Genomic DNA, 15,361 nt, shown 5'->3' with positions numbered 1-15,361 from the left:
GGGTCGGAAGACAGTATGCTTTGGTGGGAAAAGTTAGGCAGACCTGGGTTCAATTTGCTTAGATACGTTACTTTACTTCTATCAGCCCTTAGTTCCTTATATGTAAAATGGAAACAGAAAATCCAACCTTGAAGTATTTTGTGGGACAGATGGTGATGCAGTCCACTGAGTAGAGTTGAAAACACAGAAGGAAAAGACAAGTGTGGGGTAAAAGTTAGTGGGAATCTGGGAAAATTATCTCAGTCTTCATGACAATCCTATGAGGTGTAGGTAGTATTACTGCCATCATTTTATAGGAGAACATATGGAGACATAGAGGGAATAACTTGACTAAGCCCACATAGAAGAAGTGGGATTTGAATCTGAGCTGAAATTCAATTCTGATTCCAGAACCTAGGCTTAATTCCCACGTTCTGCAGCCTCCTAAGTCTTTCATCATATGTATATACACACATACTGTGCATATCCTCTAAATCAAAGCCTTATGGGACTTCCTGTACTCTGTGTAGTAACCCATAACCCTGATATCTTTTATTCTGTTGTTTGTTAAAAAGAAAGAAAAAAGAAAAAAATTGTTGGGTACAACCTATTGAGTTTATGAACTTTTCATGAGCCATGACCCACAATTCAAAAAACATAGACATAGAGCTAGGAAAGAATAAATGGGGTTTCTGTGGCTTCTGTCAGCAAGTAGCATTGCATTTTTTTGTTGTTTGGTTTTTAACCAATTATTTTGAACTCCAATTGTCCCAGGAAGAGATTACTTCTCCAATAATTCTGCTGGGTAAGTCCATGTTACCCTTGGCCTGTTTTCTGTCTTAGAGGAGCAGAAGAGGTTTTAGTTGCAGATGACCTGGGCAAGTGGTAGTGCTCATAGTCCAAGTGTTCTCTCACTAATCCCTCTCTTCTATAAACTGCAGTCTTTAACTGACCATCCCACAGTTCTTTATGTGTCACCCTTCCCATGTGTATCAGACAGATCTAGTCTTTGCACCTTCGCACGTGCAGCATCTAGCACAGCACCTGGAACAGAGTAGTGGCTCAGTATGTGCCAGATGATGGGGTATACCAGCTGGGCCGGCTTGCCATCTCTTCAGTACAGATGCTGTCTCTGCCAAGCGGCCAGCCAGATGTTTGAAGTCTGGGAGCTTGCAAGAGTGGTACTAATCTAGATCTACTGTTCCTGGACAGGCCTTGTTTGTTTTACAAGGAAAAGATTACTCATAGATTTGAAGACTCTAGTCCAATTCTACCATTGTCATCCCAAACACAAGCTAGAAAATTAAATTTGAGAAACATTAATGTACCAGTGTGACAATGGGAAAACTATATGAAACTTTGAGTACATGGAACCTCCTAAAAGGATTTTAGTGTAGAATAGAATTAATAAATAATAGAGCCTCCGAAGATAGTAATTATTGGTAGAAGAATAAAATAAACATTACATCTTATAATAATTGCCCCCAAGGAATATGCATCTTAGCCCGATAGAGATTAGAGAATTGGAGGAAAAAAATATGTACATGTATACCCATAAACGTAAATATGTGTAGATATATATGTATGTATATATACACACATATATGTAGATTTATATATATGTAGATTCACTGTGTTTACAATGAAAGAAGCTGAAACTGCCATTTTCAGGACTTTGTTAACATAGGTTTTTGCTTCTTCAGTTCAAAATTAGAGCACAAGAACATTTGCTTGGACTTCAGTGCATTATTTAATCAAGTAAACGTGATTAAGAAGTAAAGTTCTGCTTGAATGCTTAAATACCTCTTTAAAAAATAAAGGCAAACCTTTTTTTAGTTGAACATTGAAGTTGATCACATATAACTAAAAGGCAAAGGAAGACCCAGATCAGCACAGGAAAAAACAGGCTTAGCTTGCAACTTGAGAAATTTAAGATAGTTATAGGAACGCATTTTTACTAAAAACCATTGCTAAATCAATGCAGGCAAATGAGGATCTATCCTGTTTCTTCTCACCCGAGAGAAGATTAGACCATGTTTCTTGGTAATACAGCCTCAGGTTTGTGTGTTCTTGCTGAGCACAAACAATAGGCCAGCTGACCTTTCACATTCTCACCCAATCCTGCAATTCAGCTTCATACCTCCCCTTTCAGCACAGCTTTCCAAACAGTAGCCAGGACTCCTTGTACTCTTTAAGTATTGCCACTGTAAAAACTCACAGCATGCCAGCAGGTATTTGCGAAGATTGTGATGACGTTTTCTAAGAGTTCATTTAAAACTAGAGCCCTTAATCAGTTTCTATTCATTCCTCTTTATAGTTTAACTTTCTGTTAGGTGGAACCATATGAAATTTCCATCTCCGCAGGTCACAAAGACCAAATATCTGAAATTTCATATGGCCAACCTATAGTTGAAAATATGTCAGTGCTTTCTATATATTTTGTGTTTTGCTTGGATTATTGTGCATTATTTTGTTTTGTTTTTGTTTTCCAGCAATTGGGAGCAGTAGTTTCAGCCCACGACCAACTCACCAGTTCTCTCCACCACAGATTTACCCTTCCAAGTAAGATGTATTTTCTCTTAATCAATAAATAACTTCTCTGAGTAGACTTTTATTTATTTAAAGTCATGTCTGTGCCCACATGTTCCATCTTAATTTAAATGAAAGTGCATTTCATAGAGATGTAAACATATTGATACAAATTTATTTTGAGCATCATGTAGTGGAGACACTGAAGTATTTCAGTGCTTTGTCAATTCTGTGTGAAAGTTTTACTTTAAGATACAATATTTAGCTGGAATTTGTGATGTGGTTGTTAATCGGTTTGCATGTTTCCATCTAATGCATGGGCTTTCTATTTTCTGTCATTTCTGACAAATAGCAGACCATACCCACATATTCTCCCTACCCCTTCCTCACAAACTATGGCTGCATATGGGCAAACACAGTTTACCACAGGAATGCAACAAGCTACAGCCTATGCCACGTACCCACAGCCAGGACAGCCGTACGGCATTTCCTCATATGGTGAGTAACCTGCAACTGTAGTGGTGGCGTTATCGCATGGGCATGCGTGTATTAACATGTTTGAGTGGTACTTAAAGACCCAATCTTTGGCCAATTTAGAACGTGTTGTCACCTTCTGTGTCTAAATTCTTAGTATGATTGTTTCTAAAGAGCATTATAAGAACTGGTAGCTCCTTATCTTGAGGTCAGAGGTAGCGAAAAGATTATGTGGTTCGTATGCCTTCTTGCTCTCATTTTTCTCGATTTACATCTCAACCCTGAATTTGCCATTTGAGCACTGGGCTCTGGAATCCAAAATATTTTTGTGCATATTTGTGATAAAACGTCTGTGAATGAAGTCTTTTGGGGTACAGATTCATTTCCTATTTATCAGATGCCTAGCTGTGATTAGGAACGTACAAGTAGAATTCAACAAACTCTTGCTTTAAACTCGAGGGTGGTAATAGTCTCAAATTTCAGCATTATCAACCATTAGGAAAAGTGATCTATATATCACTGCCTGGAGTGTACTTTGAAGAGGCAAATCGGGAAACATTTAAGGCTCACATGGACATTTGTTCCTTCCCACCTGGAGATTATCTTTATCTTGGTGTAATTTAACTCACTTTTTATGGGTCAATACCTGTAAATTAAAAATAAATCCAACAAAATCCCAAAGCTTAATTAAAAAAATTTCAGAATTTCAAAATACCTTTTCTTCCATTAAATTGTCATTGCAATTCTAAGTAGATTGAACTGAATAGAAACACTTGAATTATTGGCATTTTATTAAGAAAAGAATAAAAACTAGTGATCAAGGAATAGTACATGGACACTTGGAGGAAAGGATTGATAGAATAAGTAATTCTGTGCAACAAGTACAGAATTTTTTGTGACCAGTATTCTAATTGTGCTTCTGCTTGATACTGTTTTGTAGTATTCTTTTCTGTGGTATATAAAAAGAATTAATGCTCTTCTTTAAGTATTTCATTAATAATTAGAAGGTAAATTACTTTATTCCTTTTAATTCTATCTCAAACAAAATCAACTGTATATGAATTTCTTATAAAATATATACAAATAATCTAAATTATGTACGACTTCAGCATTTATAGTTTTATTTTAAAACCATCAGAACCAATGTTTTCTAGATAGGTATTTTTAAAGTAGACTTTAGAGACAGCCCTAAAATGGAATTTTTAAAACTATCTCTCTTTTCCATAACTTTTATTCACAGTTTCTCATAATAATATTAGCTATGGATTAAATTTAGCTGGAATTTACTTTCAAACTATTCTTGGACTACAAGAAGAAAAAGGATCAGCTCCCATTCTATAATAGAAGTCAAGGCAGTCTTTGATTTACGTTCTCAAAATTTATTTGTGAGATGGTTATTTGAAGTATAAATGTATTTTCCAGTCCACACAGTTCTAAAGTACTGTCAGCCTACCAGTGCTGCCATTGGAAGGTGCCATTCCCATCACTGCCCTGGCTACCAGCCACACATCTTTCTTCTTCCTTCTCCTCCCCATTCAGTCTTGGTGGGACCTGGACATCTCCCTTTGCCAATTTCTGAGCTCTGGGTTAGGGGTTCCTCCAGTTCTAAACCATTAATGAATGTCCTTGTCTGAAATAGCTGTTCAAAGAGTGTGAGATGAGCAAAAGATCTGGGAATAGAATAAGAACTAGCAGAGTGAGGATGGGGATTTTAATGGGATAGATGGGGATAAGGGAGGGGGAGAGAGCGAGGCTCAGTGTGAAGGGCTTTGATTCCAGAGTTTTCCATGGTTATAAATTCCCAGGGAATAATTTTCAGTTCTTAGCATTTTCCTAATAACCCCCATCTTCTCTTTTGGGAACTTGAGTAGAAGGAGATGCCCTGCGTACTTCTGATCCAAAAGTTCTATTTTGGGGGCCAGTGCATTGAAAAATATGGCATCCTTCTCCCCTTTGCTCATTCATGAAGGAAGAGCACATAGCTTGGGTTTTAACTGCTGATAGTCAAGGCTCAGATGGTCTTACAAAACTTTCTCCAAGGACTTGTACTCTTGACTTTTTATTTAGACCCTGTAAGAAAAGGTTGGTGTATCTTTTTATCATGAGAATGATAGATCAGTGGGGAAACACAAATTCATTCTGTTTTTTTGCTGGATCTGCTTGGAGTCTGCCAGTGAAATGAGTTTGCCACCTTGTAGGTAGAAGTCACAGAGATAGGTGTGGCTATGGGTGCTTTCTACCTCTTTCTGCCTTTCCTTACATGTTCTTATCACAAAGATCCCCATCTGGAACCAATAGGCTAGAAACAGAATAAAAATACATGACTTAGGCCAGGCGCAGTGGCTCACACCTGTAATCCCAGCACTTTGGGAGGCTGAGGCGGGCGGATCATGAGGTCAGGAGATCTAGACCATCCTGGCTAACACGGTGAAACGCCGTCTCTACTAAAAATACAAAAAATTAGCCAGGCGTGGTGGCGGGTGCCTGTAGTCCCAGCTACTTGGGAGGCTGAGGCAGGAGAATGGCATGAACCTGGGAGGTGGAGCTTGCAGTGAGCTGAGATTGCGCCACTGCACTCGAGCCTGGGTGACAGAGCGAGACTCCGTCTCAAAAAAAAAAAAAATACATGAATTATTGGTATTTTATTGGTATAGGTGAAGGCTGGAAGCAGATCAGTATAGTCTCAAATGCAGCAAGAGGTGGAAAATCCCTAGGGGTGACAACATGGAAAGAAAGGGATTTTCTAAAGCCATCATGCCACCTGTCTGGGGCAGGTGTATTTCCAGGGACCATTTCTATGTGTGGGTTATTCATTGGTTTGGGATCACCTTTACAGGGAAAATCACATTTTTAAAATGTTAAGGTTGTGTTAAGACTTAAATGTTAAGGTCATTATGAAGTTATTTAGAGATACTGCAGGAATTAAAGTAGGCACTCTCAGCCAAGAGTCAGATTCTCCCACTGCCTTAAAACAATTACCTAGCTGTACTCTGCTGATGAGATTCCCCTAAAATGGAAATAAACAGTAAGACTACTGTGTATTCTAGATCCTAAAGATATCATTTATCTTAAGTACGAAGCAAAATTATTAAAAAATGTGAATTCCCTCGGCAGAAATTTTTCTTCCCTCCCTCTGTGAGAATGAAGGAGAGTTGTTAACATGTATGACTGTCTTTAATTGTAATTAATTAAAGACAGAGCTGAGCCCCATACCTCAGTGCTGCCAAATCCAAGTCCCAAAATTACGATGTTAGCCTGGTGTTTGGGGAAGTATTTGGGGGCCACAGATACATCATTTTTATATTATCATATGATAAAAACAAAGGTACTTTAGACTACATCGAAAACAATTATAGTCAAATATTTCACACTAACAGGGACAAAAGGAAACTGCTGGTCAACCTCACTTGTTTATAAATCACTGCTGTTTTATAAGATTCAGCTCATTAGTGTTCTGCTTCCTTTGTGCTTATTTTCTGATAGGACCTAGATATTCAGGAAAAGCCTTTCCACCATGTTGTTTAGTTCTGTGCCCAGTATTGCTTCTTTGGACTTCAAAATGAGTTGGTACTGAAATCAGCTTTGTAGTAGAAAGAGTAAAGGAGGGAAAAATACTGTGATGGTATAGGATCTAATTAATATTTTTAATATAAAAAAGGATTTTATTTTTAACACTAGTCAATATAGCAACTTTGGGAACATTTAGCTAAAATTTAATTATGGCTATTTCTTTACTGTGAAGGAGATGATCTTCAACTCTTACATAATTAAAACAACAAAATTAAGTATGAAAATATATCACTGGAGTTACATTTTATAGAAGGGATATGTCTTGAAGTGCAATAAAACAAGAGAGAATAATGTGAATAGACATTCAAATCTGTAATCCTGGATTTAAAAAACTGAAGTTGTACTTTATGGTATTTCACTGAATGCATGTATACCCTTTATTTTTGAGATAAGATTGGGGAAGCATTTGTAGTTAAACGGTTGTGGAAGTGTATGTTTTTGTATATTTACCAGCTTTTGAAAATGGACAGATAGATAAGCTATCACTAACTGATTTAGGTGCATTGTGGGCAGGCATCAAGACTGAAGGTGGATTGTCACAGTCTCAGTCACCTGGACAGACAGGATTTCTCAGCTATGGCACAAGCTTCAGTACCCCTCAACCTGGACAGGCACCATACAGCTACCAGATGCAAGGTCTGTATATACACATTGCTATTTTCCTTAACCCTGTAGGTTGATAGTTAACTTCTAAAGTAGAACCTGATGTTCCATGTAAATAGTAAATGATGATGGCAACTGGATTGGGCTTAGAGGCAGGACACCTGCTTCTAGTTTGATTCATCACTTACCTATTTTCTAGGCCTAAATTTCCATATTTATAACATCAGGGGGTTAGACTGGATGATCTATAACATTCTTTCCAAAAAGCACTAAGATTTTTTGTGAAGTTGACATTTTTGCCTTTGTGTCTTCTGTCAGTTATAAAAGAAATGAAAAAGTCAAAAGTCAGCCACGTAGGAGGTTGTGATATGGCATGTACTAAAAACTTACGCACTTGGTATTACCATCCAACTTTTCCAAAAGGGCTGTATTCTTTATTTTCATTATGAAGTGAAGCTTGGGGAGTGACAGTCATAGCTGTAGAAATAAAGTATGTGATAAGTGTTGAATAATGATCTCCCAAAGAACAGCTTGATCAGATTTACAGACACCCAGTGAATCTTTAAGAAAATGCTTGTAAGAATCAGTCCCTGGGTTCTGTTTTTGAAAATATAGACAAAACATAATGTAAGTACAAGTCAAATGGAATGACAGCTGTCATTGTCAAAGCTGGTCTCAAGAATACATAGACATTACTTAAAGTTAGCACATTGTTATCTTGCAAATAGATCTTTAAAGTGCTTGAGAATAGTTCTCACATAATTTAAACATTTTCCTAATATCTTGTCTTTACTACAGTTCAGTTCAACGAATCATATTTGGCCTCCTAATAGTGCCAATCCATAGTTGAATTAAATCCCTGATGATCTCTTTTTGATTGAAGGGGTTCTTTTTATAGTTGTTATTGTTTTTGTATATTTTAGCTTATTCTTCATTACATTAATAATATTTGTTTATCACAGACAAATTAGAAAATACAGAGAAGCAAAAATATAAGTCTCATACATTTATTATTATCATTATGATATATGTTTGTCTAGATATACAGCATGGGCTCATTATTTAATACAGTATTGCAGCCTGCTGTTTTTAGTAACAAGTACATTTTAATCATCTTTTCACATCAATAAGTTCTGTTCTATGGTATCCTTTTGATGGCTACATGGAATTAGCTAAATAGGTATATCTTACTTGACTAATTCCCTAAATAGATATATCTTATTTACCTAGTTCCCTACTATTTGACATTTAGAGCAATGCTATGCATATCTTATCTACACACCTTTAATTATTTCCTTTGAATAAGTTTAAGTATAGAATTTCTAAGTAAATTGTTTTATGCTCCTTTAAGGATTTCCTATATATTTACACAAGGAAGGGCTGTGTGTTAAAGTATACACATTTGATACCTTTCTTTGAAAAAAGTGTCATTTTGGTAGGTACAAGATTTTGTTTTTACACACATTTAGAAAAAACATAAAACGTTTTTTCTTCTCTTCAGTGGTTGTCATCTTTATCTTATTATTTTTCACATTAAAGATCTTAGCCTTTTTAAATGTCTTATTAATATGTTTCCTTAAGAATGATTTTTTTTTATTTATCATTTTTAAGAGTCTATTTTCCTGTATGGCAAACTACAATTTTAGTGGACAAGATCATTAACCTTTTCATATTTGATTTTGCATTTGATTCAAAAGGCCTGAACTGTAAAGTTTTGACATATTCAGTGATTATAAAATAAAAACTATTTTATAACAGATAGCATTTATTGGTAGAAGGATATTATTTATGTGCCTCATTCCAAAACTTTTATGCAGCCTTGGAAAAGAACTGTTCTGCACATGCTGAATATCAATTGAGTAAAGGAATATAAAGAACAAAAAGTGATGGAAAGACTTTATTAATGAATTTAACAGTCCTAGGCTCTAGTAATAAAATGGATCATAAGGCAGACAAGGTCTGTTTGCTCATAGAGCTTTCATTCTTGCCAAAGAGAGAGACAGTAGACAAGCAACCAACTAAATTATGCAATTGCAGATTCCTCCGGGAGACATCAGGAAAATAAAGAGTGCTGGAGGGGTCCCAGGGTCTAGCAGGGTGCCCGTGGTATCCAGGTCTCCTTGAGGAGAAGTGGATCCTAAAAGTGGGAAAGAGGCAAGTGAAGTGCCCTGCCCAGAGCAGAGCTACAGAATTGTATGGTTCTGGGCCTGCGCCCATCCACAGCCTTGCCATTACCCGTCCACCAAAAGCTAAAGCTAAGTACAGAAACTGAGAGTTAGCATCTAGAAACTTTCATAGTCAGTCAATAATAAATTTTATGTTTATTGAATCAAATAATAATTTTTTAAAATGAGACTTATACTGTCTCTTTTTTTAGAAAATTTTTTTTCTTTTAGAAGTACATTACTTTGTATTTTGCTCAGTTGTCAGTCTGTGAAGGATTGGAGGAAAAAACCAATCCTGGACCTCAGATAGTTTGAGAAATATTGTGCTTGAGAGTTACTTTCATCTTGCTCTTCTCCCAGATCAAAACTTATGCAGCAGGAACAATTCAGAAAAAGACAAACCAGCCATTACAGTATAGTGCATAAAAAAGGGGAAATGAATGAGTAGAAAAGGAAATGAATTTGGAAGAAAATAAAATTATCATTTAAAAGAAATAAGGACATGTATAGCACCAAATTAGGCACTGCTTTTCTAGCCATAGATTTATTATCATCTGGGCTTACTGGATATTGCATTAAAACTTTTTGTGTGTTTTTATTCATCCCTTAGTTGAATGGCCTTTCTGTGGGACATTAGGACCCATTTCCCATGACTGAGGCATTATTTCACATGACTATCTTTATAATGATAATTTACTCAGTTTTAGACTATTGGATATACAGGTTGAGTATTCCTAATCCAAAAATCTGAAATCCAAAATGATTCAAAATTTAAAACTTTTTGAGCACTCACGTGATTCTCAAAGAAAATGCTTATAGGAGCATTCTGGATTTCAGATTTTTGGGTTAGGAATGCTCAACCAGTATATAATGCAAATATTCCAAAATTTGAAAAAAATTCAAAATCCAAAACATTTCTGGTCCCAAGCATTTCAGATAAGGGATATTCAACCTGTAATATGACTTCCACATATTAAGCCAGATGATCATATACTATTAATTTGAAAATTAACTTGCCAAAATGATGATGGATAATGCTATATAATTTGCTACAGAATGTATATGGCCAGATTTGGGTACTTAATTGTGATTAATACGTAGTTCTTAAATATTAAATGCAGTATGTATACTGCTTCTCATTATTCAATGATTTTGTGCACCTAGTTGCGGGAGTCTGTTGACCTTTGAGTGTCTTTTTAATACATGTTTTTTAATATAGCAATTTCTACAATGTCTAAAATTATTTTCAAAATTCCCTCAGTTCTTTTAATCCTTAATGAATAACAGTGATTATTTGCTTTTATCAATTTCATCTTATAGCTATTAAAATGTATTTGAATCCTGGATGAGAATATATTTTGGCAATATGGGGGATATTTTTGCCTAGCTTTATTTCCGGGAAATCTTTTCAACTTTAAAAATATAAGGTATGATGACTAGTTATTCAGAGATTTACCTGTTCAAATTTAATATCAGAATTTTACAATGATAGAAGAACTATTCTAGTAGCCCAGGGGAAATATTCTAGTAGCCCCAAAAACTGAAGTGTGACATGTATGCATCCTCTAAGTGTTTTGCTGATTAATTTAAAGAAAACTTATGATGATCAGCTCTTTGGTTCTATCAGACTTAGAAAGACTGGAGTAAAGGTACAGTGAAATCTGGCTTCCTGGTTAGCAGTATGGGTTCTGGAGTAAGATTGGCTGTCAGCAGTTCTACCTTTGCTTTCTGTGGGCCTTCAGCATGCAATGACTCCTTCACATGTGTTTCCTTATCTGGAATATGGGCATGAGATCTACTCCCACAATACTGTTGTGAGATATCATTGAGATTGTCTGTAAATCACTCTGACCAACCTGTGGTACATAGTAAGAACTCAAATGATTGTTGTCAATTTTACTGCTCTCATTGCAGTGGTGATGTGATTACTATTATTTTCATTATTATCATTATGGTCCAGCTTTCTGGAATAGTTCCAGATTAGGTAGCATTACCTAAATGCTCCTTCTCTTCCCCCCACAACACACAAAGTGTAATTAAAATTTTAATATGTGTAATAATATATATAACAAAATATATTTTAGACATGAAAGAGAACTTTAAGAAACCAATAACCAAATAAGCATAGCAAAAAAGGAGCCAGATGTAATTAATATGCTGGCATGGAAGGAAACTTACTATCAACAAAGGTCAAGCTTTTTGTACATGATACCGAAAAAGCGGGGGAGAAACAACATGAAGAAAAAAATCAGGAGAGAGGAAAAGCTGTATGGCAGCAGTGGTGAATGGGGTGTTGGAAAATGAGAGTGGGGAAGCAAGGAAGAGCCGCTGGCAAAAAATAAACTCAGCTTTGCAGTGGTGGTGGGAGAGAGACAGTCATCAACCAAGTCCTTGTTGGTCATGGGCCCTGCAGTCACATCTCTGAGTGCTAAGAATGGGTGGAGAAAGAGGTCTCCACCAGTCATTGAAGCATCAAATTGTTTAGTTCAGAAAATTAGGGAAGAAGATGGGAATGTGATAAGCTGTGCTATGTAGAGATGGAAAACTCTAGTGCCCATACAACAAAATAAAATAACAGTTGACATTTATTGTTTACTTTTTATATGCCAAGGACTAACCTAGTTATTTCCCTTGTGACATCTTATTTAATCTTTACATAACTCTGAACAGTAACTTTGAAAAGATAAGAACCTATGGCTCACGCCTGTAATCCCAGCACTTTGGGAGGCCGAGGTGGGCAGATCACCCAAGGTCAGGAGTTTGAGACCAGCCTGGCCAACATGGCAAAACCCCGTCTCTATTAAAAATACAAAAATTAGCCAGGTGTAATGTCACGTGCCTGTAATCCCAGCTACTTGGGAGGCTGAGGTAGGAGAATCTTGGGACCGTGAGGTTCAGTGAGACAAGATCGTGCCACTGCACTCCCGCCTGGGCAATGGAGTGAGACTGTGTTTTCAAAAAACTAACTAAATAATAAATAAATAATAAGAACCTGAAAATGCTAAAGAATGCATAAAATTAGTAATTTAGTTTGTATGATATCAACAGTTAAGAATGGCTACTCAAAACGGAGAATGGCTTAGAACTGTCAGACCTCGTTGTTGTACATACACCTAAATTACAGAGCTCACAGGAGTGGCTTTTAAAGAAAACTACAAAAAGCCAAAATGTTGTTGCTTGGTCTTTAAATTTTTCTGAAGGGCAGGCTTGATCGTTAGAACTAAACCATTGCATTACATACTTAGTTATATAACTAGTCAAACACCAATTCATGAAGCTCTAAAAAAAACTTCTTAGAAAACTCATTTCTGAGCACTGTCAGTGCTTTGACACTTGCACAGCCTTTTAAGAGCAGATTTGGCAATTTACGGCCATTTTGCCACTGTCAAACCTTGTGAACTGGGCCAGCCTTACTTGGTGCCCTCATTTGCTCCAAGTGATCCTTCTGGAATCACCCTTTCAGCTCCAACTTTCAACACTTCTGTCCTGCCAAGCAGGCTTCTGTGAATCTGACACATGCCATTTTAAACTAAACAAGGATCAGATTTTCGTCGTGCATGCTCTAATACTAAAATTCCATGAAATAAAACCTCAGTGATTGGGAAATCTGATTGTTTTCACCTTTGCTGTAAGATCACTGGAAAATTCTATTCATGCTTTAATTTTTCTTTTGTGCACCACTAAAAGATTAGAAACTTAAGTTCAGCTGAGAAAGACAAAGTGTTCTTCTTCATAAACAACTGTAGAGTTCAACCTGAGGAGGTGAAATCTTTGCTTATTCATTTTTGACATTTTCCTGTTCCGCAGTGTTAGCTTTGGTTTTTCTGGAAGAAGTTTTGGAATGGTCTGAGGGGGTTTTTCTTCACACACCATTGACAAAGCTGATGCAGATGAGTTAGCTGAATGGGTGGGTGTGGATGGACAGAGTGTGCCTGGAGACCCTTGGGTCAGTTCTGCAAACAATATGTTTTTACTGCTGCTTACCAATCAAAGGGCACTGGCCACAATAGTGAAACGGGGTGTTGTGTGTGAGTTTGTGCGTGTGTGCACGCATGCATGAAAGGTAAGAAAACTGCTTAGCAGAAGCAGCTTCGGCCTCTGATTGCTTTCACAGAATATCTCCCCAGTGTGTCATAAATAACCTTTATTCTCCTTTTATGTAAAAGAAACAACTAACTTGAAATCAAACCTTTAAAAATGCAAGGTCTGTACCTATCACTGGTGTCGCTATCCATTTAACTCCACATATAATATAGATTTATGGTTCCATCTAATACAGAAAACAATGAGCTATCTTTATAATGGTGGTGCCCAATCATATGAGGAAAATAAAATTTTGTTTAGCAATTTGGCTGAGGTAAGGCAGTCTGTAGTTCACGTGCAAACAATTTTCACACACCTACAAAACAAAACCATTAAAATTAAGTTGTTATTTAACTGGTTAAGCCTCAGCTCTGTGGAAAACCCAGCTTTCCATAATAGCTTAGTTCTAGTGATTCTAGACTATTAAAGGTAATGAACATCTTTAGTCATATTTTAATCTCCAGTATCTAGTATTATGTCTAAAATATACAAATGTTTGTTAGAAGTGGAGAGGTCTATGTCACAATGAATGTTAGAAATTAAGGTTCATAAAAAACTCTGATTTTCTTCATTTGGGGAAATGAATTTGGAATGTAGCATAATAAAAATTCAGTTAATTCACCATTTAGAAGAGCAAAGACAAAGTTATGGAATCAACCTAAATGCCCATCAATGGTAAACTGGATAAAGAAAATGTGGTACATATACACCATGGAATATTATGCAGCTATACAAAAAGAATGAGATCATGTCCTTTGCAGGAACATGGATGGAGCTGGAGGCCATTATCCTTAGCAAACTAACACAAGAACAGAAAACCAGCTACCATATGTTCTCACCTATAAGTGGGAGCTAAATAATGAGAACATATGGACATGTAGAGGGGAACAACACACACTGGGACCTGTCAGAGAACGAAGGGTGGGAAGACAGAGAGGATCAGGAAAAATAACTAATGTGTACTAGGCTTAATACCTGGGTGATGAAATAATCTGTACACCAAACCTCCATGACACAAGTTTACATAACAAACCTGCACATGTACCTCTGAACTTAAAAGTTAAAAATATATATAAAACATAAATAAGACATTTCAGCTAATTTATTGTCATCGTATGTTTAATGCCATCTTTCCTTGTGTTAATACTCGTAGATAGAGCTGGTTGGAGACATCACAGAATCATCACGATGGTGGTATAGAATGCCTTTCTGAGTGTTTTATCGTCCCAGAATATCAATAATGGTATAGGACATTCCCATCATCCCACACCAGGGAAGGTGTCAGGATCTGCCATGATAGATCGAAGGGGCTGCACAGATGTACATGTACTAAACTCAGAGGGCCCTGGAAACCCTGCTTTGTTTATTTTCCTTTAGGTTTTATTGCTCTCACTTAGAGAAGAAAATAACACAAATTCTCACTCCCTCTTTGTGTATAATGTTGTTTGTTCTGCTAAAGAGATTGGGGTTCAAACTAGTAAGGAAAGACAATAAATCAGGGCAGAGGTTTGTTAAAGGGTACGTGGAAGAGGCACAGCTCTGCGGCCATCACACCTCATGCATCCCTGCCTCATTATGAAGTGGGAATGATCCAGTAACATCACCCTTGTTTCCTTTGATCTGCCTCTCTGTAGCTTTTCAAATGTACGCCTGAACCATTTAAGTTTATTAGTCATTTATAACCTAAAAATTGCTTAACTAAATATGCTGTTATGCTTTAAAATTTTTTTATTATCTATAGAAAAGGTATTTTTACTTTAAAAGATAGTGGTTTTAGGAAAATATACATTAAGCTTAAAAAAGTAATCTGTGATAAAGCATTTGAGATTTGTACTTTCTGACGTAAAATGAAATTGAAGAATAGCTATTGCAGCTTGCACTGATGTGCAGAATTGCCCCTTAATTGCTTTGCCACTCTTCTCATATTTATTTTTTAGTTCTTGGCATTTTATGTTCTA

The 15,361-nt window shown here is 36.4% G+C and overlaps 1 protein-coding gene across 27 annotated transcripts in view; it reads left to right on the top strand.

Moving 5' to 3' along the window:
* Positions 1 to 15,361, top strand: part of EYA1 (EYA transcriptional coactivator and phosphatase 1) — a 350,662-nt gene that overhangs the window by 223,355 nt on the left and 111,946 nt on the right. For 12 of the 27 annotated variants that reach the window (NM_001370333.1, NM_001370335.1, XM_047421523.1 and 9 more), the window contains 3 exons: positions 2,472 to 2,541; positions 2,861 to 3,006; positions 7,051 to 7,188. In NM_001370333.1, the coding sequence (NP_001357262.1) occupies positions 2,472 to 2,541; positions 2,861 to 3,006; positions 7,051 to 7,188 (354 nt within the window). Of the gene's footprint in view, positions 1 to 2,471; positions 2,542 to 2,860; positions 3,007 to 7,050; positions 7,189 to 15,361 lie in introns of those variants that run through there. The other 15 variants (XM_047421528.1, XM_047421524.1, XM_047421519.1 and 12 more) reach the window with 5 other exon arrangements.

Source organism: Homo sapiens, chromosome 8 (genome assembly GCF_000001405.40).
Source record: "Homo sapiens chromosome 8, GRCh38.p14 Primary Assembly".
Taxonomy (NCBI): Eukaryota; Metazoa; Chordata; class Mammalia; order Primates; family Hominidae; genus Homo; species Homo sapiens.
Note: the sequence above shows the minus strand (reverse complement) of the source record. Positions and strands in the feature narration are given on the sequence as shown.